This window comes from Homo sapiens, chromosome 15, assembly GCF_000001405.40.
Source record: "Homo sapiens chromosome 15, GRCh38.p14 Primary Assembly".
NCBI lineage: Eukaryota > Metazoa > Chordata > Mammalia > Primates > Hominidae > Homo > Homo sapiens.
Genome location: NC_000015.10, coordinates 92,393,650 through 92,420,430, shown reverse-complemented (window position 1 = coordinate 92,420,430; position 26,781 = coordinate 92,393,650). Strand labels below are relative to the sequence as shown.

Sequence of the window (26,781 nt, the reverse complement as noted above, 5' to 3'; positions counted from 1 at the left end):
GAGGCATCTGCACATCAAAATGCAAGTAAACAAGTCACCTGGATGCCAAGCATTTCTCACTGCAATCGTTCCTGATCCTTCCTCTTTCTCATAATGAAACTGTGGGTCACCTATAACCGGCGGGGGGACAATATAACTTATCATCCAAGTGAACAGAAACGCCAACCAGAAAGGATTCATAAACAGGGACTACCAACTGAAGCAGGACTCGTCCTCTGATCTGCACCCATCTTATAAAGGAGACAGCCTTTAAAATACAGACTTCTGGCTGGGTGCAGTGGCTCATACTTGTAATCCCAGCACTTTGGGAGGCCAAGGCAGGCAGATCACGAAGTCAATAGATCGAGACCATCCTGGCCAACATGGTGAAACCCCGTCTCTAATCAAAATACAAAAAATTAGCTGGGCGTGGTGGTGCACGCCTGTAATCCTAGCTACTCCGGAGGCTGAGGCAGGAGAATCGCTTGAACTCAGGAGGCGGAGGTTGCAGTGAGCCGAGATCGCGCCACTGCACTCCAGCCTGGCGACAGAGCGAGACTCTATCTCAAAGAAACAAACAAAGCAACAACAAAAAACAGACTTCTAAGATAATGCTGCATTCTGAAATCCTTAACACTCAAAATCCCAGAAACCAAAGCAATTAAAACCCAGGGCAATACATATATGTATGCTGTTGGTTGAACTGGACCTAGTGAAAAGTTGTGGGCAGAGAGGACTACTTCTCTATGGTGCTCATGGCTATAGAGCCTTTGCTGGTTCCCCCATCCCAATTTTGGAGCTCCCTACTATACAACGAGCCTGGGCCTCTCACCCTGCCTCGGCGTCCTGGACATACCTGCAGAAGGGTGCCCCCTATATTCAGCCACCATTATCTCTATGCGTTCGGCTTCAGCACCCCCTCCCCAGACCATGGCCAGGCACAGGATGCGGGTCCTGCTCATCTCTGCGTTGCTGTGGGAGGGTGTATTTCCCGCACACCCAGTGTGTTCTAGAGAGGACCACTCAATGGAGAGATGAGCCCAAATCACCGAAGATGACCCTCTCCTGTAGAAAACAGGATTCAGAGAAGTCCATATTCCCCTCAGCGATTTCTCTCTCGCCAGCTCTTTGCAAACTTTCTCAGGTCCGTCTACACTAGTTGTCTCTGTTTCCTCACTCCACCCCCTGCTTCTTCTGAGCCTGCCTGGTTTGTGTTCCTGTCCCTGTACCAAGAGAGCTCTGATATGGCCACCTTGCAATGACATTCTTCAGCCCCCAGATGGCTGGAACCGCATCGGTGTTGGATGAGGGTGGCCACTCCCTCCTTCCTGGAGAGGTGAACTGGGGCTCCCTGGGTCTGGTTCCCACCTTCTGCCTGGCTCACACGTGGCCCCGGAGAGACCTTCTCTCTGGGAGTGGGGAGGCAAATGTCCCCTTGGGCACCCCCTGGAGGAAACATGCTGCGGCTAAGAGACATGACAAAGGATCCCAAATGAAGGGATGGGTTAGAGTCCCCAGGGCATCTTTAAGAGCCTTCTGGCCCAGAAAATCCTTTATTTTACGTCATCCCCTCACAACACTTTACGACTTCATTTAAAATGGCATAAAATTCCTCCTTGATCCTACTGTTCCCCTGGCAGAGGTGCCACAATTAAAAATTGTGATTTTTCTCTGTATTTACACCCAACAAGATTTTGTTCAGCATTACTTTCTACAGTTTTTCTATACCGTTTGAATATATACATATATATTTTCAAACTAAACAGCTTCTCTCCCCCTCAATCAAAGTTCACTCTGTAAGAGTGATGCCTCCACCATCCCAAATGATCATTCTTGTCCCAGACAGGACAAAAATTCTCTTGCCTGTCTCTTCCTTAGACATGGATGCAGATTCCAAGACATCAATTAAAAATATTAAGAACTTCATTCCCTTGAGCCCCTCCATGTGCCAGGCACTCTACCGAAGCCTTTTTTTTTTTTTTTTTTTTTGAGGGAGGGTCTCACTCCTGTCGCCCAGACTAGAGTGCAGTGGCGTGATCATGGCTCACCATAGCCTCGACTTCCCGGGCTCAGCTGATTCTCCCACCTCAGCCTCCCAAGTAGCTGAGACTACAGGCGTGTGCCACCATGCCCCATATTTTTTTTTTGTTTGTTATTTTTAGTAGAGTTTGGGTTTTGCCATGTTGCTCAGGTTGGTGTTGATCTCCTGGGCTCAAGTGATCTTCTGGGCTCAGCCTCCCAAACTGCTGGGATTATAGGCGTGAGCCACCATGCCAGGCCCATAGTAACTTTCTTATTTCTGACTTGGTTTTGGAAATAGGACACCCAGGCTCAAAAAGGTTAAGTGATTTGCCCAGGGCCACCCAGCAAGCAAAGCAGCAGAGCAAGGATTTGATTGTGGTCTGCATGAAGCCCAACCTCCTATGCCTGCAGAAAGTGGCCCCCTGCGTCCTGCCCTTCACCTCCTGCCTAAATATATGTCGAGGAGGCCCCAGAGAATTAAGAGGAAGCAAGGGTTACTCAGCAAATAGTTGTGAGATGGCAAGTTAGCTAAGTGGGAAAATATTCAAGCTAGACTCTCCGCTCACATTACACTATAAGGATAAGGCGTGACCCAGACACTCAAAGCGATGTATAGGAGCAGTTTTATATGAAAATTCATGCAATCCGCCATTGCTTAGTTACTCAGCGTCCATTATTGACAGTCACTGGGCCTTGCACTGCAGATACATTGTTAACCTCAGATGTCATTTTTCCTTTTCTATTGTAGGAGAAATATACTACACAGAACCTTAACCAAGAGGTTGGCAGCCCTGAAAACTCCTCATTTCATTCATGTCACATGGTATGGATAAATCCATGCTCTTTAAAGAGAAGCAGAACGCCCATCCAGTGTGCCATGCTTTGCTCTTGAGTCTGCCTCGAGGGGACTTGAAAGACCCCTGCCTTCAACCAGGCTTTCTTCCCTCTCTTTTGTTCCCTTCCTGATGTACCCGCATTCAGACACAACATCCCTGTGAATGTCAGCTGCAGCCTCTTCGTGAGAGAATTTCTGGAGGGCACTCAATTTGGGGAGGACTTTGAAGTCACTTTTCTTCTGGGTATTTGATGTGTCCCCTTCCCCACCTGCCTGGTTCTAAGGCAACGGCCACTTCCTCTGCTCCAGCAGCCATGGTGGTTACCACTCAGGAAGCCTTGGTGTCAGATGGAAGGAGGATGGATGGGACCACCGGCAGAGGGGACTGGAGTTCTGGTTCCTGATGGGTTCTAGTTTTGCAGCCCTAGACCTCTCTCAGTTTTGATGTCCTCCTCTGTCAATTGGGGTTCCTGCTGTAGGATTAAAATAAGAAGGACTGGACAGAGGTGGATGTTAGTTGCAGTATTGTTGAAGGTGATGGCTACTGCCCTTTGGAAAGGAACAAACCAGTTGCTGCCTGTGGAGTTTGACAAGTCCCCTTGGAAAAGCTGTCCTTGGGTAAGTTGGTTTTGAAGAGTGCAGTCCATTAGGGAGAAATAAGAATCAGTGGAGGAGAGAAAGTGGAGCGTGCTAGCGTGGTAGAACAGGCACCTGCTGTTGCCCCTGCAGCTTTCATGGATGGAGTGCTGGGGGCCCGTTCAGAGCGGGGCCTGCTGGGGAGTGGACATGTGCATTTTTTTTTCTTCAGCACAAGAGGCACATCCGAAGATCACATGGCCAGGAGGTGGGCAAGGCCTGCCCACAATCCACGGGGCTGTGCAGGACTGAATCCCGACGGGACCCTGGCAGGGAGACCCTTGCAGTATGTCCCCATGTCTCCTGGAGCGGGTCCAACGGCACGTTCTCTCTGCTCTGTCAGTGACCTGAGCATGACCCTGAAGTACCCCTTAGGCCATAGACTTCCCGCCTCCTTCATCCTCTGGCAACACTTTCTCCGGGTTTTCTTTGACCTTCTCTTTCCCAGCCCCTCAGGATGCTGGGGTTGGTGTGAGTGTGCCCTTTGCACGCGCCGGTTTTCCAAACCCTGCTTCCATTGTCCCTCGGTGTCTGATCTGCCTCTGGACACCTCACTCCCGGCTCCAGTCACAGCACAACCTGGCTGCCTCCACACACCTCCCACCCACCTCCACCCCTTCCACCTGTCTCTCCCGGTGTCCTCTCAGGGAATGGCAGCCACCCCTAGTTCATTCAGAACCAGGGTGATGTCCACACTCCCCACTCTCCCTCACCACACCCCCACCCCCCCTTCAAGTGTCCCCCAGCCTCCAGATTTGAGCTCGTCCACCTGAGGGTGAGTGCCAGTGCCCTCATCCCTCTGCCATGAATCTCTCCTGTGCCTCCGTCTTATCTGCGATGTGCAGAGACTGCTGATCTGCCAGCCCTCCCTACACAGACACAGCTTTCCGAAATGCAGTGTGCCACATGCCTCTCTCTCCTTTAAACTCTTCAGTCTCTCTTACCGACCCCTGCAGCTTTCAGAATGAGGTTCAGATCCCTTAGCATGGCACAGAGACCCTTTCTGAACTGCCCCTTCAGCCTCATCTTCTTTTCCACACATCCACCTCCTACCAAGGGGCAGTTTCTGGAATGCGTGACTCAGTTCACAAGCCTGTGTCTTTAAATATCGTGCCCTCTCTCTGGAATCCCTTGTTCTATTTTTCATTTGCTGACTTCAGAGTTTATACACTGCCAGCCCTGGGTCATATCTAGCCTAAACATGTGTTCAGGGGCTTGCATGTTCGACCTTTTTAAAATCAGAGGCTACTGTTTAAAACTCAAGAGACTAGTCGTTATAAAATATCCTCATTTCTGGCTCCTTCTAAACAGTCAGAAGATCTGGTAACAGTGAACCATAGTCATTGCTGGAGTTGGGAAGTATCTGTGTCCTCTTGTTGTGGGGGCGGGGTGGGGGGTGTATATGCTACATTTTTCTACAGCCCACACTACTCCCTACTGTCTTACACTGAGCGTCATCACTTATATCTGTGACTTGCCTGGACCCTAAAGGCATTTGGGTTTAAGATCCCTAGACTCGTCCTATCAATTAGCAAAATTCAGCTCATGTCACTTTCTCCACAAACTTCCCTGACTCAGAAACCCCTCCCGTGCCAGGTACATTAGGACTGCAGGCCCTAAGGAAATGGCAGAGGTGCTAGTTTCTTGCCTCTTCTCAGTCTCAGCTGACCAGATCCTTATTGATAAAATCAAGCAGAAGCAGTAGGAGGAACACCCAGGGGCATGGTCATTTTCTCCCTGTAATGTTCAGAAACAAAAGCTTAGGAGAAGGAAATTCAGGAGTTCTATGCTTCCTAAGACACTTGATGAGGCTGCTTCCTGGGCTTGCTGAGGACCAACAGATAGAATAGGAAGAGGAAGCCAGCCCTGGCCTCTGGAAGGGTAACAGCCCCAGGTGTCTTCAGGCATCAGCCATGACCTCCGTCCCCACTTTTCCCAGCCATGCTCTTTTAGGAGCCCAGGGCTCTGGGGAGGAAAGGGGGCGGAGGAGAGGTTCTGCCTCTTGGGTCCTCCCTGTGAGCCACTTCCTGATTGGCTAGGGGAAAGCCCAAATATGTGTTCAGGGTGGAAGAAATTAACTCCAGCCATGTTGACTTAGGGCATGGGAAATGGCTGCGTCCAACTAATGCCACGATAGCTTGTGGTGGGTACGGGTGGGGTGGTGACGGGTCATAGAGAGGATGGTGGCCCCAGGGATGTGACCAGCTTGATGCTAGAATCAGGTGACTGGATGCAAGCATGAGAAGAACCTTGCTCGGATGGATGGATGTTGAGAAGAGTAATCATTACCAGAGTTAATGCTGCCTGGGCCCTTGCCACATGGCAGTCCCTGCTGTGGATTTACTCTTTTCATCCCTGTCCCAACCCTATGAGTTCGGCATTTTTCTTCCTCCAACTGACTTAGAGATGTTAAGCATCGCATGCCAAGATTGACAGTGAGGAGGGAGCTCTAGGCGGGATTTGAATACACCTCTGTCTGACAGATTGTCTCCAAATTGGGGAGTAGGTGCAAAGGTGAGGTTGGGGTAGGGGCTTGTCAGAACCTGAGATGAGTCAAAACTGGAATGTAGTCTCACAGGAACAAACTGACAAGGGAAGCCAGAGGACAGGGCCAAGCAGCCAATGTACCTGGGTCACTACACCTGACTCCAGACAGACGCCAGAGCTTCACCCAGTCAGATCCGAGAGGCAGAGGTACGAAGCCAGGTCAGGGCAAGGGGAGTGTGTGCAGGGACCTGGGGTTGTCCCCTGTGATTTTATTCCTATGCCTTCCTTCTTGGCAGTTCTGGGCCTGTGCTTTGAATATTTCCAGCAGATTCCATCAGGACGTTCAGGCTGTGCAGAAGGCGGGGAGGCTGGCTTGTGTTCTGAACACCCACAGAAGAGAGGTACAAAGAAGAATCAATGGGTCCTTTCCTCTTTGCTTTTCCCATTGCCCTGAGTATCAGCACAGACTCCCACTTTGGGCTGGGCCTGGAGGGGACATGAAAGTCACAGCCTATTAGCCCCCAGGGTCTGGGCTGGTGCCTATAGACGGTGCCCTGAGGGCAATGGCTGAAGGTGTCATTGAGGGCATCACACCGGGGGCTGCCTCAGAGCCTCACCCTCTCCCCACACTCCTGCCATCAATTTCTTATAGAAAACTGCAAGAAAGAGGGCCGGAGTGAAAAGGGATTGTCTGCCGCTCTCTAGGGATTAGAAGAATCCAAAGGCAGAGAGAATTCTTCCCTGCTGACTTCTCCACATGACCGCAGGGGCCTGACAAGTGGACAGGAGATTTAACCCTTTTGTCCTAGGCAGATCACATGCACGTGTCAAGCACCCTGGCACACAAAGGGCTTCCCGGGACACATCTGGAATAGGGCAGTACTTCAGTAAGTGTGCAGTGAGGATGCGCGGAAACTACCCACCCACTGGCCGGGAGGAGGAGGGAAATGGGACATGGCTTCCCTGTTTTCTTGACAAACATACCTCTTTGATACAACACTATAAAAATAAAATGAGGTGGCAAATGAGAACACAGTCTTCGGTATGGTCCCTAGCTCCACCTTAACTCGCAGAATATTCAGACTGAGTTTCCTCACTCCTTCAGAAGGGTGAACTGTGAAGAGTAAAAAAGGTAATGAAAACATATCAACAGCTGGCAGATGCTATTTTCATTTTAATGTAATTACTGTTCTGATTAAAAGTTTTCTGAGAGGAGGATAGGTTATGGCTGAGTTCTACCTTCCCTTCTCTTTGTTTCAATTAACATGCCTTTCTTTTTCGAGCATCATGGAGCACCTACTCTGCAACGGGCACTGAGCAGGGCTCTAGGGTTGCAGTGGGAATGGAGACAAATTGTCTCCAGTTTGAAGGTGCTTAAAATAGAAATTTGGGGACATGAAACAAACGCACACTCACCCCCCTCCCCACCCTACACCCCCCACCAGCCAGCAAAGGAACAGAGCTATAAACACCTACCCATTACTGGGCAATGCTGAGAAGAAAACAGAGGCAAGGGCTGGGTGCAGTGGCTCACGCCTGTAATCCCAGCACTTTGGGAGGCCGAGGTGGGCGAATCACTTGAGGCCAAGAGTTTGATACCAGCTGGCAAACATGGTGAAAGCCCATTCCTACTAAAAATACAAAAAATTAGCTGGGTGTGGTGGCATGCGCCTGTAATCCCAGCTGCTTGGGAGGCTGAGGCATGAGACTTGCTTGAACCTGGGAGGCAGTGGTTGCAGTGAGCCAAGATCGCACCACTGCACTCCAGCCTGGGTGACAGAGCAAGACCCTGTCTCAAAACAAACAAACAAACAAAACAAAAACAAAAACACAGAGGCAAATGGTGGTGCATACCAGACTGCATGGATACTGGGGAGTGGACAGGAAGGGCTGTTTCAAGAGATGGCATCTGTCAGAACTCTGAAGGAAGATGGGGAACCAGCCTTGCAAAGGGCTGTGGGAAGAATATCAGGCAGAGAGGTCTGCATGGGCCACAACTTGAAAGGCAAGAAGAGCCTAATGGGTTAGAGGATCCCAATCTTCCCTCCTTTAAAATTTACCATGTTTCCAGGCCCTGCTCACCCCTTCATCTCTCCTCTGAACCTTCATCCCTCCTCTTCCCCTCCCCACCTCTGCCATTTGGTCTCATTTTCACCTGACTGTGACCCTATCATTGAACCTCTCCCCCCTTCCTTCCCTCCTCTCATTTCTTTAGTTATTTTTACAGATGCACTCTTTTATTTTTAAAATATTATTCTCCTGCCTGCCTCCACCCCTCACCCACTTCTCCTTCCTTTTCACACCTCCGGCAAGGCCAGTATGCCCTCTCTGGCCCCTTTATCAGAGACCTCTCTTTGGAATCTCGCTTCACCCCACAATTCCAAGGAAGGAGGTATCTCTCAAATGCCACTGGGGATCTGCCGACAACCTGGCCTGAGGCCCTCGTCTGTAAGGACCCTCCCACCGGGAGCACCTGCCTGTCTTGCCTTGCTTCTTCCTCTTGGTTGCCTCGTACTTCCCTCACTGCCCTTCTGCATGGCCTTTGCTACCTTGGTTTCTGTTTCCAATTCTCTAAATCAGAGCAAAGACCCAAGCTTAATTCTGGGGTCTTTTCTACTTTAGAGATTTTATCTACACTAAGAGCTTCAACTGCCATCTCCCCCAGAGGGCTTCAGATCTAGCCTAACCTCCAGCCTAACTTCTCTCCTGTTATTCTCTTACGAATTGGTCCCCAGCTGCCCACCATTGAGGTGACTGTGGACAAGTCACTTCCTATCTCAGGGCCTCAGTGGCTGTACCTATAAAATGAAAGAGGGGTGGTTCTGCTGCCCTCTTATCCCCTAGTTGCTCCAGTAAGTGGTGGCTTAATAATTTTTAAATTGTCTTCATTTCCACATAGATAAACTCAGCCTCTTAAAATGATCATGTTTAAAACCAAACTCACTATAGGACCATAACACACAGCTTCCCCTCTGATGTCCTGCACCCACAGTGGGCTCAGTTGTTCATGCAGCTGTTACTGACTGTCCCGAGAGTGCTGCAGAGCTGTCATTTCTTCTTCATAACCATGGCTTCCTAACTCCCTCTTCCTTTTCAACACCCCCGCCCGACCCTCAATGCTACTCCCATGGGTGGTCTTCCCGGCACCTGCCCCCTCCAAGCAACTGATGCATCGTCTGCACATACCTTTGGTCAAAGCACTTCAAGGGTCCCAACTGTCCACAGCGGCTCCTCTTAAGCTTTTGTGGGTCCCTTTGGGAATCCTTTGAAATGTTTGAACCATCTGCTCAGAAAAATGCCTACAATTTCAAGGGGTTCGTGGATCTGAACCCCATCACAGATTCTTTAGAGGTCTCCGGACCCCATGTTAAACCAAAGAAACCCTCAAAGAATCAAGTCTGAGTTCTTCAGCCCTTGACAGCCTGGCTCCAAGCCCTCTGTCCTCCCCTACTTTCCTCCACCTCTAGGCACTGCCAGAGTCTGTGGCAGCCGCGTCACAAATGTGAGAACAGCTCCTCCTTGCACATGGGAAACTTTCTTGGTCCTGGCCATTCTCTCCATCTAGGTCACCAATGTCATTCTTTTTCCAGCTCAAGTCCTTGGGCTCTTCCTTCAAGTCCCCAAATCCTGCCTTCTCTCATCCCTAGTCCTTGGTAGGGAACCCCCTCTTTGGAGCTCCTACGGTAGGAATCAGCAGTACTATGAGCACGCTATTGTTATTTTTGTTTTTATTACACGTCAGCTCACCATGGGAGGTCAGGGATGGCAATTAGGCTGATATACTACTCTCATAAGATGTTTGTTGGTGATAATGAATTTTCCTCATAGTTAAGTGAAGAAGGCTTCCAAAATCACCACATTTAACTATGCTTGAAAATAGCTTTTCTACATCCCGTTACGTGCACTCATGTGCTTTTCTAAAACTCGGTATACAGGATGTCATTTGACGGGAACACCAATCCTGCTGTGACACAACGGTCCTCTAAGTGGACTGAAGGGTGCAGCAGTGACGATGCTGTTGCTCCCCGTCCTGCAAGTTTATCAGGACGTTCCATTGAGATGTGAAAATGTCAAATGCAGTGCCTGGCAAAGAGCAGATACCCAGTATATTAGCTTGTCTTCCTCTTGCCATATAGCAGCTTTCTTTTCTTTTTAATGTAGAGCAGGTGGTAGGTGAAAATAGACCAACACCTATTTATTGCCCTGCTCTAAAATTTCAGGGCAAGGAATTTAGGGGTGTAGCAGCAAATGGATTTGCTATTTCCAGTGAGGCTGAACTCCACTGCACAGGAAAACTCCTTGAGACAGCTCTCCAGTTTTGTTGCTCTAGAGCAAGTGAAGACCTGTAGGTCCATTGAGTCCACTTTTTATAAATGCGAAAACTGAGGCCCAAAGACGTTAGGGCCTGCCCTTAGGGCAATGGCCTGGTGGTGGCAAATCCACAACCAAAGCCCAGACCCCGAAACTCTCACCTCCAGACACATTCCTCGTCATTACACAACTCGCTCCCCCACCAGATCACAAACTCCATGAGCACCTTCCCTATGCTGTACTCATCTTTTCAGTCGCCAGCACTCAGCACAGGGCTTGTAAGCACCTGTAAAATGGATCGGATGCACTTTGCTCACACACAGCTTTGCAATGACTGCACAAAGCTCATGGTAACCATCACAGAAACCAGGTACCAGGAAACCGTCCTGACGCCTTTTTCCAGGGGCACTGTGAGTGCCTTATAAGGCTGCTGTTTTTGCACCTAATCAGGAGCAGATTGGCTTTTCCAGCAGGGTGGCTCGTGGCACACAGTCTGTGCTGGTGATGCTGCAATGCTGCATTTGAGAAATAGTTACTGAGCATGTACCAGGTGTCATGCACTCGCTATACAGAAATGAACAGGAAAGAAATGGGCCCTTCCCTCATGAAGAATCATCGAGCGGAAAATGAAAAAAGCAGAACAAAAGTAAATAGACCACCTAGTCCAGACAGAACAACCCTCTCCGGCAGCTAATCTCTGCCTATTTCCAAGACAGAAAATAAAAACAACACTACACAATGGGACTCTGATGAAGACCACAAATCCCAAAGTCAACACATTTTACTTTATTTTATCTCAATTGATCTCAACTCCCAAATGCGTGAGCTTCAAAAGGTAAGATTAGGTACCATTAAGCCAGCCAGACCAGCATTGATTTGAAAACCCTCCTCCCTAATACAAGACTGAGGAGGTTGCAGGCCCTCATTAATCTCCTTGTTATCAGCTTGATCTCAGCCTGCCTGGAGCCAGCTTGCCTGATTCCCAAATCTGGTCACATCCCTCCAGTCCTTTGGCTTCTGTGCACGAGACCTCAGAGCCCATATAGAACTGCGGATTCGCCTGTTAGGAATACTTACTTAAACTGTGGGCTGGTCTTTCCCCATGAAATGAGGGGCAAAAATGAAAGTGGGTGTCTTCTCTAAATAAGACGGTACTCAGCTGGGCATGGTAGCTCATGCCTGTAATCCCAGCATTTTGGGAGGCCAAGGCGGGCGGATCATGAGGTCAGGAACTCAAGACCAGCCTGACCAACATGGTGAAACCCCGCCTCTACCCAAAATACAAAAATTAGCCGGGCATGGTGGCGCACACCTGTAATCCCAGCTATTCAGGAGGCTGAGGCAGGAGAATTGCTTGAACCCAGGAGGTGGAGGTTGCAGTGAGCTGAGATCACGCCATTGTACTCCAGCCTGGGCGACAGAGTGAGACTCCATCTCAATAAATAAATAAATAAATAAATAAATAAATAAATAAATAAATAAAAAAAATGGAACTCAGTGGATTTCAAATCAGACAATTGCACAGGGAGCTAATATAGCCCCTACCACATTTTTTTCTCCTTTGGCCATAGAGAGAAATATGTAAGTGATCCTAGAATATCAGTAACTGGGGCCTATCTCAGCCTCCCTCAAGGAACTTACTCCCTCCCCTTCATCCCTTCCCTCCTTCCTTCCCTTCTTTCTCCAAAAGAGCACCTACTTTCCACCAGGCACTGTAGCAGGAGCTGGAAGTACAACGGGGCACACATCTGAAACGGTCCTAGCCTTCAAGGAGCTACAAGCTAACAAGCAGGCAAGAAACCATGCAACAAACATGGTGTGGGGAGATGTGCCAGAGAGAGGTAGGGAGCTTCAGAGGATGGTGAGATGAGGGTCTAATCTAGTGGTGTTGCAGGGGTGAAAGGTCTTCTTGGGCCTAAGGCATCCTCCCCTCTCGGTGGGACCACCCTCTCTTGGAGGAGGGTTGTTGGACACTGTTTGAATCATTCATAAGGTTGTTTTATTCAAGGATTCTTTTGTTGTGTGCTGGGCCGTTTCCAGACACAGTTATAAATGGTTTCTGTAAGTAGGTACTTTCTGAAGGATTAACTCAGTCACTCTGGAGAGAAGTTTTGCAAGGAGTAGTCATGAGTTTGCTGCCATCCAGGGCAGATAATGACTATCGGGGAGAAGAAAGGCTGGGATGTCATTGCATAAACTTCAAACATTTTCCGGGTCTACCTTCATGCGTTTTGCTAACTAGACTTTATTGACTTAATACTTTCCTTTAAATTGACTCACTTAAAAACTTAAATGAATTTATCACAAAAGGAATCTTTATACCACTACCATAGATAGAATACCAATATCCCTTGCCCTAAATAGAAGGTAATAGCAAAAATAAATACAATTAAATTCTTGGCTTCCAGCCTGCTTGGAGACTTTCTTTATCTGGAAGAGCAGATTGGTTTTAAAAGGCTCCCCTAGACTTGCCTTCCATCACCCCTAGAGGCCTTCCCTCTCCATTCCCCTGCTTTTTATAACTGAGAGTGCAGTTTGGAACTGGACCGCAGGCTGGGCAGGCCACCAGATCCACTCAGGAACCCCCAGAACTCTAGGGAACTGTGACTGCATACGCCAACTGTGAAGTGGGGCCCTGTGCTGTGTGAAAGATCGCATCCCAGCCAAGCTCATTGGAGGGCTTAATGACACAGCTGATGAGCGCTTTGCTGTCCAGTTTCTCTAGAAATTTCCTTCAAGTGCTCCAGCACCGGGTCAAGCCTGTTTCTGGACACACTGTATCCTCCTTGGACTTATGTAATAAATCACTTCAACCCTCGGTTAAGATCTCTGCTCTCCTCATCTTATGCCTCAGGCCTCATTTGGGAGGACAAAGGAAGAGAAATATGCTAATGGCTAAAGGCTAAACCCCTGGCACCTTGGAAAACAGCCAGCTAGATCGCCACACAGTTTAAGTTCTTTTTCTGTTTCCTAAGCAGTCACTCTATCTGAGTCTCAGTTTACTTGTCCGTAAAATGGGTGTTGCAGGGGTTTTATAATAAATGTGTGAAACAATGTATAAAAAGCTCCTGGCATACACTCAGGAATCCAACCAGTGGCTGTAATAAGAATCATTATTCATTTTTCTTTGTAGTGTTTTTTTTTTTCTTTTCTTTTTTTTTTTTTTGAGACAGGGTTTCATTCTTGATGCCCAGGCTGGAGTGTAATGGTGACATCTTGACTCACTGCAACCTCCGCCTCCCAGGTTCAAGTGATCCTCCTGCTTCAGCCTCCTGAGTAGCTGAGATTACAGGCGCACACCACCACGCCCAGCTAATTTTTGTATTTTTGTAGAGATGGGTTTCGCCATGTTGCCCAGACTGGTCTCGAACTCCTGGGCTCAAGTGATCTACTCACCTCTGCCTCCCAAAGTGCTGGGATTACAGGCATGAGCCACTGTGCCTGGCCAAGAATCATTATTCATTTTTCTGATATCCATTTGGAGGTCCCTCTAGGCTGACTCTGTGATGGGCAGTGGAGCTACACTGACAGGCTACCCCTGGTGTGATGGGCCAAGGTCACTGCTTAGGGCAGGCGCTCTGTAGAAGGCAGGGAAACCAATCATTCCCCCAGCAAAGTGTGCATACACTTCACCTGGGGGCTTGTTACTGAGCGGATTCAGATTCGGCAGGTCTAGGGTTTGGAGGAGGGCCTGAGACACTACATTTCTACCAAACATCCAGATGATGTCCATGTTGCTGGTCTGAGGACCACACCGAGTGACAAGGCTCTAGCTCACTGGTTCTCAAAGTGTGGTCCTGAAATGGGCCAGCAGTGTCAGCATCACCTGGAACCTGTTAGAGATGCAAATTCTCAGGCCCTGCCCCAGGCCTGTGGAAACAGAAACTCCAGGAGGTGTCCAGCGTTCTGTTTTTAACAAATCCTCGAGGTGATTGTGATGCTCTCTCAAGTCTGAGAACTGGCTTTGGCATCTCAAGCCTCCTGGAATCCACCTCACTTGCTCCTTCCTGTGGTATTATAGAGAGCCTAAAAGGGAAGAGACAGCTGTGCCCTACCTCTTCCCAGCTCAGCAGGAGCCAAATCTTGGGATCAGTATCTCGGACTCTTTTCTTTTCAGGTTCACCCTTGAGCCAGAAACAGTTTAGAGGCCACCCGTAGGCAGGTGATAAAGAAAGGGACTTCTGGAAGCTGCGTCTGGGAGGGAGGGGGTCTGGACTGTCTTGGCCTCTCTCCCCCATCACTCTGGGCCCTCCTTGCAACTTAGGCTTTGGCAAAACCTTATGGGCCCCTCCACTAAACTTAGATGGGCAGGGCAGCCAACAAGAATTCAGAGTGGCCACACAAAAGTATGCTTGCACTTTCCACAATCCTAAATCCCAGATGTTGGGTATTTGGGCCACCTCCAGCTTGTGTATCCAAACATACAACAAAGTGATGATTTGTATTTTTCTAATTCTGTGTCTATAGCCACACCTCCCCCCTTTTCTCCCTCCATTTCCCCTGTATCTGCTTTTTGGTCCTGTATTATTTTTAAAATTAAGTAATACCCACATTGATGTTGCTTTGTTGAAAATCACAACTGTGCTCTTAAAATAAGTCAGTGTGTCCCGAGCACCTGCCAGGCACTCTTCTGGCTGCTTGCGCGCGTGTGTGTTTCAATTGTGGGAAAATACACATAACATGCAATTTACCATCTTAGCTATTTTTAAGTGTTCGGTTCAGTAGCATTAAGACATTCATATTATTCTGCAGCTATCATTACCATCCGTCTGCTGAACTCTTTTCATCTTGCAAAACTGAAACTTTATACCCATTAAACAAATTCCCCTTCTCCTTCCCCAGACCCTGGCAACCGCCATTCTACTTTCTGTCTCCATCAATTTGACCATTCCAGATGCCTCATGTACGTAGAACCATACAGTATTTGTGCTTTGGCCACTGGCTTATTCCACTCAGCATAATGTTCTCAAAGTTCACCCATCTTATAGCTTGTGTCAGAATTTCCTTCCTTTTTAAGATTGAATAATATTCCATTGTATGGATATACCTTTTTAAAAAAAATTTTTAAGAACAGGGTCTTGCTATATTGCCCAGGCATGTCCAAACTCCTGGGCTCAAGCTATCCTCCTGCCTGTGCCTCCCTAAGAGCTGGGATTACAGGGGTGAGCCACCACGCCCAGCATCTACCATATTTTGTTTATCCATTCACTCATTGACGGATACCTGGGTTGCTTCCACCTTTTAGCTACCGTGAATAAGGTTACTATGAACATGGGTGTACAAATATCTGTTTGAGTCCCTGTTTCCAATTTTTTTTTTTTTTTTTGAGATGGAGTCTTGCTCTGTCACCCAGGCTGGAGTGCAGTGGCATGATCTAGGCTCACTGCAACCTCCGCCTCCCGGGTTCAACCTATTCTCCTGTCTCAGCCTCCGAGTAGCTGGGACTACAGGCATGCAGCACTACACCCAGCTAATTTTTTTTTTTTTTTTTTTGTATTTTTAGTAAAGACAGGGTTTCACCATGTTGGCCAGGCTGGTCTCAAACTCCTGACCTCAGGTAATCCACCCACCTCGGCCTCCCAAAGTGTTGAGATTACAGGTGTGAGCCACCACACCTGGCCCCTGCTTTCAATTCTTTTGAATATACACCCAGAAGTGGAATTGCTGGACCATATGGTAATTCTACGTTAAATTTTTTGAGGAACCGTCATACTGTTTTCCATAGTAGCTGTACCATTTTACATTCCCACCATTTGTGTTTTATTTAATCCTCAGAACACTGTAAGTTGGGTATCATTAACCCCATTATACAGATTAGGAAACTGAGACTCAGAAAGGTGAGGTCATTTGCCTGAACTCACACAGGTAATAAGTGTTCCACTGAAGACTGGAGCCTTAATCTTCCAAGAGTAGCTCTCAGTTGCTCCAAAGGTCTGGCCCAATGTCCTGAATTATATGCCATGAATCCAGCTCTGGCAAGAACTTGTCAGTCCTTACAGATAAACGTAAGGCCCCAGGTTGGCAGCAGGGAGAGATGTATGATGAATACCTAAGTGAGCCATTCTGGCATTCTGCTGGAGGTTAGAGCTATGGTATGGTGGGCAGTTCTGGCAGGTTGGGGAAGGGCCTGTGGAGCCTTAACTGGCTTTACTACCAAGGCTGGGCCATCACAGGTCTTTCTTTGGGATGCCGTCTGTCAGCACGTTGCTGCCTTTGTGTCCAGCCGGCCTAAGAGGCTCCCTGCCCGGGCCAAGACAGAACACCACGGGGAGTTTCTCTCTTGCCCTTCTCTTTGCTTCTCCTGGGAACTAAATGTTTTGATTAGCATACAATTTGGGCATCATCCTGAGTCCACCTAAAGTCAAATCCCAAATTGTGGGAACCTCAAGAGATGCAGTAGGAGGGCCTTTACTGCTTGTAGGAAAATAGCAAACTAAAGTCACCTGCCCTATCAATTTACTAATTCACTTTCTCCAGACATCTTATGCCTCCCGCCTTCATTATTAAGCTACTCTGGCAGTTACCAAGAAGGCGTGAATTAACCCTGGGTATCACTCCTCCGCGTGCAGCCGATTTTCAAAATTAGAACTGGGGAAGCTCAATAACAAGTGCTCACACCTCCCCAGGTAGAGTCCAGGTATGTCTGCCTCTTCCAGAGCCTCCGCTGAAGTGTTGTGCCCGATGGTGACAGATGCCATTGTGTTCGCGAAGCTATCTGACATGATGAGTCTATTCTATCGTCTCAAAAGTTTCCAGCATCTTTGTGCAAACTCTCTGCATGGTACAGAAAACGGGATAAAGTGTAGGAGGCCCAGGGCAGGAGGCATGAGGAATGGGGGTGAGCAGCCAGGTAACCTCAGTATAAAAAAGTGGCTAAGACCAGATGGACCATGGAGTCAGGCAAACCTGGGTGGAATCCCAGCTCCATGTTTACTAGCTGTGTGACCTTAGCAAGTCCCGAGACCTCTCTGAGTCTCCATTTCCTCATCTGCAAATGGACTAACAGGGTGCTTGGGAAGGTTGAGTGAGGTGATACATGTGAGCTCTCAGCAGAATGTGGTTACAGTAGGAAAGGGGGCTCCTTGGGATGTGCTATCTCCTTGCATTAAGCCTGGCCCCTCCCCGAAGGGCTCCCTCCCTCCGTCACTCACTCCCTCCCTCCTTCCCTTCCTTGTCAGGCTCCACTGACCTGGGGAAGCTGACAGCACCAACTCTTCTGTCTTCCCCTAGAAGAAAATTCCTCCAGGCCTTGATCATTTGTGTTGTTTTTCTCTTCTCTCTCAGTGTGTCTCTCTCTCTCTCTCTCTCTCTGGTAATGAGATGGTCAAACAAATGCCATGCTCCGGAGCCATTCTGATGAGACTCCGTGCGGGGAAGCTGGTGTGAGAGGAGAGGAAATGTGGGGAGGCAGAGGCAGAGCGGTGTGCCCCTGGCCGTCATTCCGCATTAAGGTGTTTTGGAACTGGCAACCCTAAATTGTACTGATCTTTTGGCTGCCATGTCCCATTATGGCCTGGGCTCCAACATGCTATCCCCTAAGTTTCCTTCAGCATCGCTACATCCCAGGGTTCTCTCTCCCACAGACCTTTGTGTTTCCAAGGCTTATTCCTTGAAAATACAAGCACGCATCTCTTCCCCACTGGATGTCATTTAAGACATCGTTTTTTGGAGAATTATCCTTGTTCCTGGGAGCCTGGGTTTGAATCCCAGCTCTGCACCTTACTAGCTGTGTTATTTAACTGCTCTGGGCCTCAGTTCACTAATCTGTAAAAGGGAGATAATAATAACATAGACCTCCTCAGACTGTTGGGAGGATTACAGGTGTGAATACAGCTAAAGTGTTTAGAAAATCATTTGGACCCCAGCAGACACAGACAAAATATGACTTTGTTGTTATTCTCTGCTGGCATCAGCCTCCATGGGGAAGAAAATATGTGAGGAGTGAGGCTACTTCCTGAAATGAGCTTTTCAGAATACCTTGTGGATCCAGACCCCAGACAATCAGATTTCAAGGACCCATAGTATTTCCAAAACACTGGGGGTGGGGACTCATGAGGTTACCACCCTCTTCAGCCAAGGGAGAATTTCATAGCTACCATCACTCCCTTTCATAAAAGAAAGGACATCTTAGTATCCCAAAGGAAAAAGGAACATTATCTCAGAATATAGAAGAGTTCTTTTCAGGCAATGGCAGCTGGCAACTTGAAACTATTAATAATCATGGCTACATTGCACTTTTTTTTTTTTTTCTGGCTCCTTTCAGATCACCACTCCTCTGTGGCTCACTATTTGGGAACCACTGACCTAGGGGTTCTTTCATCCTTTGGCCATCAACTAAGAAGCTGGAGGAGGAGGAGGAGGAATTGTTTCCCTGAACCTTAAAAAAGGTCCAGGAAGCAAAGCTGAGTCCCTCCGCATTCCTTCAATAATAAAAAAAAAAGGCACTGGGAAACCCTTGGACAGAGCTGAGAGCTTCATGCTTGCAGAGCAGTTTGGGAAGTCAAAGGCACACCCACACAGCGAGGCTGGATGCTGGATTTCCCAGGGGAGTGAATCGGGATCCCAAGTGCTTGAAAGTGTCAGGAGGAACCTCGACTGCCAACGTGTAATACAGACACATGTCGTGTCGGGGCCGCTGCTCTCCCCAGTTGGAGCCGTTTCCTCCTTGCCATCGTCGCGAAGTCAGTGACAGCCAAAGCTGAGAAAACATGGGACACACAGGTCCCGTCAGGACACCGGGCAGCTTCCTAGCTGGGTGATAAATTGCAGGAGACTAAAGAGAATTTAAAACCAGCCCAGATGCCACCCAAGAGAGTGACTAATCTCAACGCTTAAGGACCAGCCTTGGCTCTGGAGAGATGGTAAGCAAGCCCAGGGGCGGTCAGCCGGCCGGCCACAGGCGACGGTGTCTCACCCCACAGTGCCTCTCCGGAAGATGAGCTTGTCCCCACGCCCTGGCAGGAGATAGCCACCTGACTCACCCAGCTGGTGGCTTTCATGTTCCTGTCCCTCCCCCGGCCGTTTCCACTGTATCCTCCCAACTGTCTCTAACTCATCTCTGCTTGAGACAGCTGAGAGAGATGAGGCTCCGGACCTTATCTAGGATCCACACAGCTGCCCCAAGTCTTGACCCGTCATGAGGATTCACTGGTTTGACCAGTGTTTTCAAATAAAAACACCACTAGAAGGTGCTTCATGAGGAAAATCTTTGAGATGACACATCCCGACCTGACCTCACATTTCTTACTGTCAACGTCTCTAACACTCAGTTTCCAGCATCCTACCTGGGGACCAGCCCTTGCACGGAAACAGCTGGCCCTGCGTTCCTGGTCTGCTCTCAACGCCACTATGGAAGCCCTGAAGGGGATTAAGGTAGACGGGGCCGGCTGTCCTTCCAGGCAGGAGGGGGCAGCCTCAGCAGCACTGTGGGCAGTGGAGGGCTGGAAAGGGCTCTCTGGAGAACCAACAGCCGGCAGAGGCTTGGCATCTGGGCTCTAGATCTTTGGTTTTTACCTAAACTGGCAGGGGGCAAACACCACTGGGTCCTCTGCTTTTACAAATTAGAAAGCAGCTTTTATTTCCATTGGCCCCAAACATTCCGCAATGGTGAATAACGTCATAGCCAGACTGTGCTCTTCACTGGGATGCACCCTCCACGCTAGATACACAGGAAAAGCAGGGGGCTTCCAGATCAAGCAGAGGGTGTTTAATTGTTGTTAGAATAGTATGTACTTTTGGGAGCAGAGAGGCTGAATGCTTATTTTTGGCATATCCTCGGTCAGAGTTTGTTCCTTCAAAAAATATTTAATAGGCTTCATTTACTAAACCATATACGTATCACCAGGGGCTGGAGATAAAGGATAAATAAAATATAATTGTGAAATGCATGTCCATGGGGTGCTGCATGATGGGGTGCTAGGGTGCACACAGGAGGGGCAACCAATGCAGATGTCTCGGAAGGGGACGGGGTCTAGGAGATACCAGATCTTAGCCTGGAAGAAGACAGAGCAGTGAGAGAAAGGAAGGGCCTGGGAGGAGCAGGGCAACAGCAGGAAGGATGGTGTGTGCGCAAGGAGGGCATTCCACAGAGCAGGAGCGGGATGTGCAAAGGCACAGAGGTATGAAATCCTAGGACATTTTGGGGAACCTGTAAGCAATACAAAAATGGCTGGAGCCCAGGCCGGCTACAGACAGAGGCAAAAGACCAGATGATGTGTTGCTTTGTATGCCCTGCTAAAAGCAATGGGAGCCTTTCTAGAATCCCCTCTCGAAGAAGTATTTATAATTTGCAATCTACAACATTTCCAATTTGTAAAACCTAAAACATGTTTAAAACCTAGCAACCCTGCCTTACAGGGGGAAAGAGGCTCTGAGTGGTGAATTGGTTTCTAAGATGGTATCTATTTACAATTTAAATGTGATGTTTGGAACAGTTGGCAATAAGGACTTGGAGCAAGTGAGTTAAAACCAGATCTTTCTCTCCTATTTTATCTTCCAATCATGCTTATACTTCAGTGAAGTACACCAGTACTAGGGAGAAGAATGGGCTTTTTTAAAAAAAAATGCATCGTGTTGAGCAAACGTGTACTTCTTACAGAGTGCCTGGACTGCAACTGCTCAAGGTCATTTTCTTTCCCATCCACGTGCACTCGTCCACTAAACGATTCACCTCACCTCACTCTTGGCTGTTGGCAGTAGTTGCTGCCTGCTCACAGATCTCGTCATGGCTGATGATCAGAGCTAGCCTCTCCTTGTCTAGTGTTTTCCCAGACAGGGCCTGGTGTTTGGCTGAGGTGCACTAGGACCCCTGGCCGTGGTGTACTGGATGGCATCAGTTCTGATGGGTCAGATGTCCATTCTAACAGGTTGGTGCTGGAGAGGGAGCAGTTGTTAAATATCTTTACTATCTCCCCTGCTCCGGACACCTAGATGCCCAAATATACAGCACGTAGTATCGAGGCAGGCCCTTTTGATTGACATCAGAATCAGGTTTGCAATGGAATAGGAGCTTTCCTTCCTCCTGTCACTTTAGCCCCAGGCTCCACCTCAGAGTCTGGAATGCTCATACCTATGGCAGGTGACCTTGTGTAACAGGTTGGGGTTAATGCCATTCTGTCCTCCAGCATGGCACTGAACTTAGCTGGACTAGAGGGACATTTTGGGGAGATGTGCTCAGAGTCCTCCTCTGGTCCTCCTCATTCACCTTCTGTCTTTCTAAATGACTGATGGAGAAACTACTAAGGCCAGACCAGGCTCTCAGGAAAACTCTGGGCCTTTAGAAGAACCACTGGGGATGAGTTGGTCTTCAGATATATTCGTTAACATTATTAGCTCAGGGTAAAAAAAATAACTCAGAGGACAGGGCAGTCTAGCACAATGGTCAAGAGCATGCATGGGTTTCGGCCTTCCACAGAGCTGCTTTATCACAAGTTTATCAGCAGGGTATACAACCTCTCCAGGCCTCGGTTTCTTCATCAATAAATGGGGATAGAAATGGTACCTACCTTAGAGGGTTCTGGTGAGGATCCAGCAAATGTGTTTCAAAGCAGTTAGCCTAGCATCTGGCTCACAGAGCTCTACAAACAGTGCCACTGGCAGGTGACCACTGGATTGCCATGAGGCTGGAATGTGTTAACATCTATAAAGCACTTGGAGTAGCTCTTAGCTCTTAGGAAGCACTCAGTAAATGCTAACCGTGATCATCATCTTCACCGTTGTCATAATTGCTATTGTTATCTTTACTAGTCACTCAACTTCTCTTTAACAAGATTTCTGTAATTCCTTTATGGGTAGAGGAACTAATATGAGGATTAGGACATTGGGTTACAAAAGAGGAGACCTGTGCAAGCCTGCTCTGCCCTTAACCAGCCAGGCTGTGATCTCAGATTAGTGATGTTATTTCTCAGTGTCAAATTCACCCTAGCTGATAAAAAGGAAAGGTTTCTACAGGGAGAGCCCTATGCTCTCTTCTTGTCCCAAGGCTCAGTGAGTTTCTTTCTTTCTTTTTCTTTTCTTTTTTCTTTTTTTGAGATGGAGTCTCGCTCTGTCGCCCAGGCTGGAGTGCAATGGCGTGATCTTGGCTCACTGCAACCTCTTCCTCCCAGGTTTCAAGCCATTCTCCTGCCTCAGCCTCCCGAGTAGCTGGTATTACAGGCACCCGCCACCATGCCTGGCTAATTTTTGTACTTTTAGTAGAGATGGAGTTTCACCATGTTGGCCAGTCTGGTCTCGAACTCCTGACCTCAGGTGATCTACCTGCCTCGGCCTCCCAAAGTGTTGGGATTACAGGCGTGAGCCACCGTTCCCGGCCAGCTCTGAGTTTCAACTTTGCCCAAGGATGCTGTGTGTGCCCATCACTGTGCCAGACTCAGGAAAATATTTATCCAACAGATGTTTATTGAATGCCTTGTGTGCCCAGTTCCATGGACACCATGATGGGCAAGACAGCTACGCCTCACAATCCCCTAGTGGAAGTTACACTCAAGATTAAAGGCCAAGAAACAATCAGAAGATTTTAGCTTACAACTTGGTCGAATTGGATCTAAAACTTGGGAGTGTGCATGAATTGATCAGGGCCTATTTTACCAAAGCCCCACCCAATTTCTGACTTAGAATTTGAATTCACTCCTTGGCTACCAGGCAGGACTCTCTAGGTGCTTTGCAGAGAACTTATCTTTCTACATTTTGTTTTCTTAGTCAGCTCCAGCTCAATGAGAGCAAGAGAGTCAGAAATGGAACTTTGGAAAATAATCACTAAGGAAAAGAGATGTGTGTCTCAGAAAACTCCCCTCAAAGAAAGCCCTGCCCCTCAATTCATGATGTATAACTTTTCAGGCAGGACAGGACCTCTGAGACCACCACATTAAAAGCCTCATTTTATAAAAAAAAGAGAATCAAAAGCTTCAGAAAAGTAAATCTCAGTTTTATCCCTCCAGATAATACACATGTAATTCACTTTCTTCTTTCACTTTTTAAAATTCCTTAATCCTTGAAAAAGTTACCCCCAAAAGAGGTTCCTTCTATCTTTCCTTCCTTCCAACAGATCACAGGGTCCCACTGTTCATTACTTTCCAGAAACAGCCATCCTTTTACAGAGCCATCGCTTTCTCCCAGGGGCCGACACGCGCAGATCATCTGTAATCCTCCCTAGCACAGGTCCGGAGTGAGTTGGGGATGGAGGGGCAGGGCTGGTGCAAAAGCCTCTTGTGCCTGAGTATGATTCGAGGTCTCCAGGAAGGCATATGGTGAGGAAGGCGGAGCCCTCTTGACGCCCCTCACTGGCCACTGTGCCAAGGCTCTTATTGGGCACTGAGCCCAGCTGCCCAAAGTTGGGGTAATTCCAAGAATGAATTTAGTGTTAAAACCTCACTTGTGCCGGGAGGGGTGGCTCACGCCTGTAATCCCAGCACTTTGGGAGGCTGAGGTGGGCAGATCCCCTGAGGTGATTGAGACCAGCCTGGCCAACATGGTGAAACCCCGTCTCTAATAAAAATACAAAAATTAGCCTGGTGTGGTGGCAGGTGCCTGTAATCCCAGCTACTCGGGAGGCTGAAACAGGAGAATTGCTTGAACCCGGGAGGCGGAGGTTGCAGTGAGCCGAGATTGTGCCACTGCACTCCATCCTGGGCGACAGAATGAGACTCCGTCTCAAAAAAAAGAAAAAGAAAAAAAGAAAAGACAAAAAAAAAAACAAAAACAAACAAACAAAAAGAAACCCCTCACTTGTAAGCAGACAGAAGGTGCTGTTGGGATTCCCATGCTCTGCCCATGTGTTTACTCCTCCAGCCATGGTGAATCCCAAAATATGCCTCCATTCCTCTGGATTAAACATGTGTGGGGCTGACCGTGGGTGGGGCAAGAGTGCCCATCCCAGTCGAAAGGCATATGCAGTGTTGACCTAAGGCAGCTACATCAGCCTGGGAGAGAGGGTGTCTTAGGCCTGGTCAGGACTGGTCAAGCCAGTGGTCAGCCTGGGACGAGAGGCAAGAGAGGGAAGGAAGATGCCACAGGAGGTGACACATCGTACTTGTTTGACCGTTTTTTCCTAGGATTGGCCCAGCAGAGACAGGATAAAAAGAAGCAGGGAGCACTCAAGTGAGACAAGTCCCCGGGGTGCGTACATATATGGGAACAACCTGATGTGGGGAGCGTAGGCTTCACCGTGCATTTGGCAAGAAAGTGCAACATTATGTGCAAAGTGATCTCCTGATTGCATTTTAAAAATTAAAAGTTCCCAGCATGTGGAAGGTATTTGGTAAGAATTCAGTGAATGGCTGACCTAGGGGTGCCTGGATAAGCACAGCACTTATGTTTTTATAACAGGACAATGGGCAGCGCCGGGCCTTCCCTCTCACATGGGCAAAGGTCAGCAAGTGATCTGAGCCGGGCAGTGCCCACATCCGGAATCAGAAGCCGGAGAGCCTAGAGGAAGGCCCTCCTCACCGCATCTTCCATTACCCCAAGACGTGACTTGCCCGATTTCCTTTCCAATCCACGTTTCTGAGGCGAGCAGCTATGAAAAGTAGCATGTTTATCTCTGCGTGGGAATTGGTGGCACGTTGTGTATTAACTGCGCAGCATTTGTGAAAGTTTTCAGAGCTCTTGGGGAAACCGAGAATGAGAGGAGAAAGAGGCAGGGAGAGGGGTTCTGGAAGCCCAGCGGAGTTCACAGAAGGAATTCCAGGGAGATGGGCAGGGGCAGGGAGAAAATGAGAGCAGGAAGCGGCACTTGTCACAAGTTTTTGTCCTTGGGGCCTCGGCATCCCGCCTGGGCCCAGGACTGGCATCTCCCATTTGAGGGACTGACAGTGTGGCGGACCCTCAACTAGCACAGATAACAAATGAAGTAACAAATGGGACAAAGGAGGGGCGCACGCGGCGCGGGACTCGAGAAGAGCGCCTGGCAGAGCACAAATCCCACAGAAGAAGAGACCTTCTGCCCTCTTTGAGACCTCACCTTCCCCTTGCCCAGGGCCAGGAAGCTCTCCTCGGGCCTCCTCAGAACCCCGGCTGCCTCCCCACCTGTCGTCTACCGCCCTTTGGAGGTTCCGGAGAGGGGCCCGGCCCGGCGAGCCGAAGGCTGCGGGGCGGGGCGCGAGTCTCAGCCCCTGGGACACACAGCCGGTGCGTCCCGCGCCTCAAGTGCGCACTCCAGGAAGTCCGGAGCCGGGAGGATCCGGGCTCGCGGTCCCACCCTACCTCTGGCGAGGTCGGGAGAAAAAAAGCGCCAGATCGCCCGCCTGAGGGCCCAGAAGCCCACCGGGCGGCGGTACAGACTTTCCCGAAATGTCTCCGTCTCCGCGCTGCGAGCGCACAGGAACCCAGGGTCGCCGGGGTTGCCGTGGCTTGGCTGAACGTCCAAAGCCAGGCGAGGGCGGGGGGTCTCAGTCCAGCTATGCGAGCCCTTCTCTAGTGGTGCCAGCTCCTACGCCGGGCTCCCGGGCCGGCGGGAGGCGCGTGTGCCTGTCTGTGTGTGCAGGGGACATTCCGCTTCCCAGTAGCCCATGCAGAACCCCGCCCTCCGCTCCGGCCCCAGGAACCCCTCCCCCAGCTCAGAGATCCCTGCGCGCCCCCTGCCCACTTTGCCAAGGCGAGAAAGCGGCCGTGCTGGAGACAAAGAAACTCCTGCCTCCCTCCACTCTCGGCCCCTCCGCCCGCCCGAGACACTCCCCGGCGCCCTCCCTCGACCCCGGCGACACTGCGCTTGGACACGCCAGGCAGGGGGGCAGGGTGGGCGAGTCCGCTTCCCGACGCGGGCCAGCTGGGGGCTTCCCGTGAACCCCGCCCGGGGACACCCCACAGCAGCCGCGCCCCCACCCTCCTCTCCCCAAACCGTCCCGGGCCCCTGTCGCCGCCACCTTCTGCCAAACCGTCCCCATCTCTCCAGCGGAGCTACAGCGGGGCGCGGCGCACACAAAGGGGGTCGGAGGGTGGAGAGTACAGAAGGAGGGAGAGATCCCGCCAGGGCTCGTGGCACGGGCCTGGGAGCAGCTATTTACCCGATTTCTTCTTCGATCTCTGAGATGTCTGCGAAGATGAGGAAGACCACGAGCAGCGTGAGCGCGGCCAGCATCCAGCTCCGGAACTGCAGCTGCATGGTGGGTTCGCGCCCGCCGGGACCCACGCGGGCCGGCGCGAGGAGCAGGGGCCGGAGGGCGCAGCGGCGGACGCCGGAGCCTCCGCGCGCCGCGCGCAGCTGGGCAGACACCCTGCGCTCCGGACGAGTCCGGGCCGGCGGCGGCAGCGGCAGCGGCAGCGGCAGCGACAGGCAGGGGTTGCTCAGGCGCGGCGAGCCCGCTCGCTCCCTCCCGGCTCCCGCCTGCCCCTCCCTCCCTCCTCTCCCTTCCCCCGCCCCGCGCCCGGCTCCGCGCGCAGTTTGACAGCTTTGCTCCGCGCCTCTGCTCGCCTCCTCCCACCAACTCCAGCGTCCAGGCGCTAGCCTTTGCTTCTCCCGCCTGGCTTTATTCAGCTCCCGAGGGCGCGGGGATGCAGCCGGACGCCACTCCTGGCCT

The 26,781-nt window shown here is 49.8% G+C and overlaps 1 protein-coding gene and 1 pseudogene across 3 annotated transcripts in view; both read right to left on the bottom strand.

Moving 5' to 3' along the window:
- ST8SIA2 (ST8 alpha-N-acetyl-neuraminide alpha-2,8-sialyltransferase 2) overlaps positions 1 to 26,550 on the bottom strand; it is a 74,848-nt gene extending 48,298 nt beyond the window's left edge. For 2 of the 3 annotated variants that reach the window (NM_006011.4, NM_001330416.2), the window contains exon 1: positions 26,269 to 26,550. In NM_006011.4, coding sequence (NP_006002.1) covers positions 26,269 to 26,366 — 98 coding nt within the window. In that variant the 5' untranslated portion in view covers positions 26,367 to 26,550. Of the gene's footprint in view, positions 1 to 6,943; positions 11,494 to 26,268 lie in introns of those variants that run through there. The other variant, XM_017022642.2, reaches the window with a different exon arrangement.
- LOC124903615 (uncharacterized) lies at positions 2,742 to 2,884 on the bottom strand (annotated as a pseudogene).
- Positions 26,551 to 26,781: the final 231 nt, after the last annotated feature.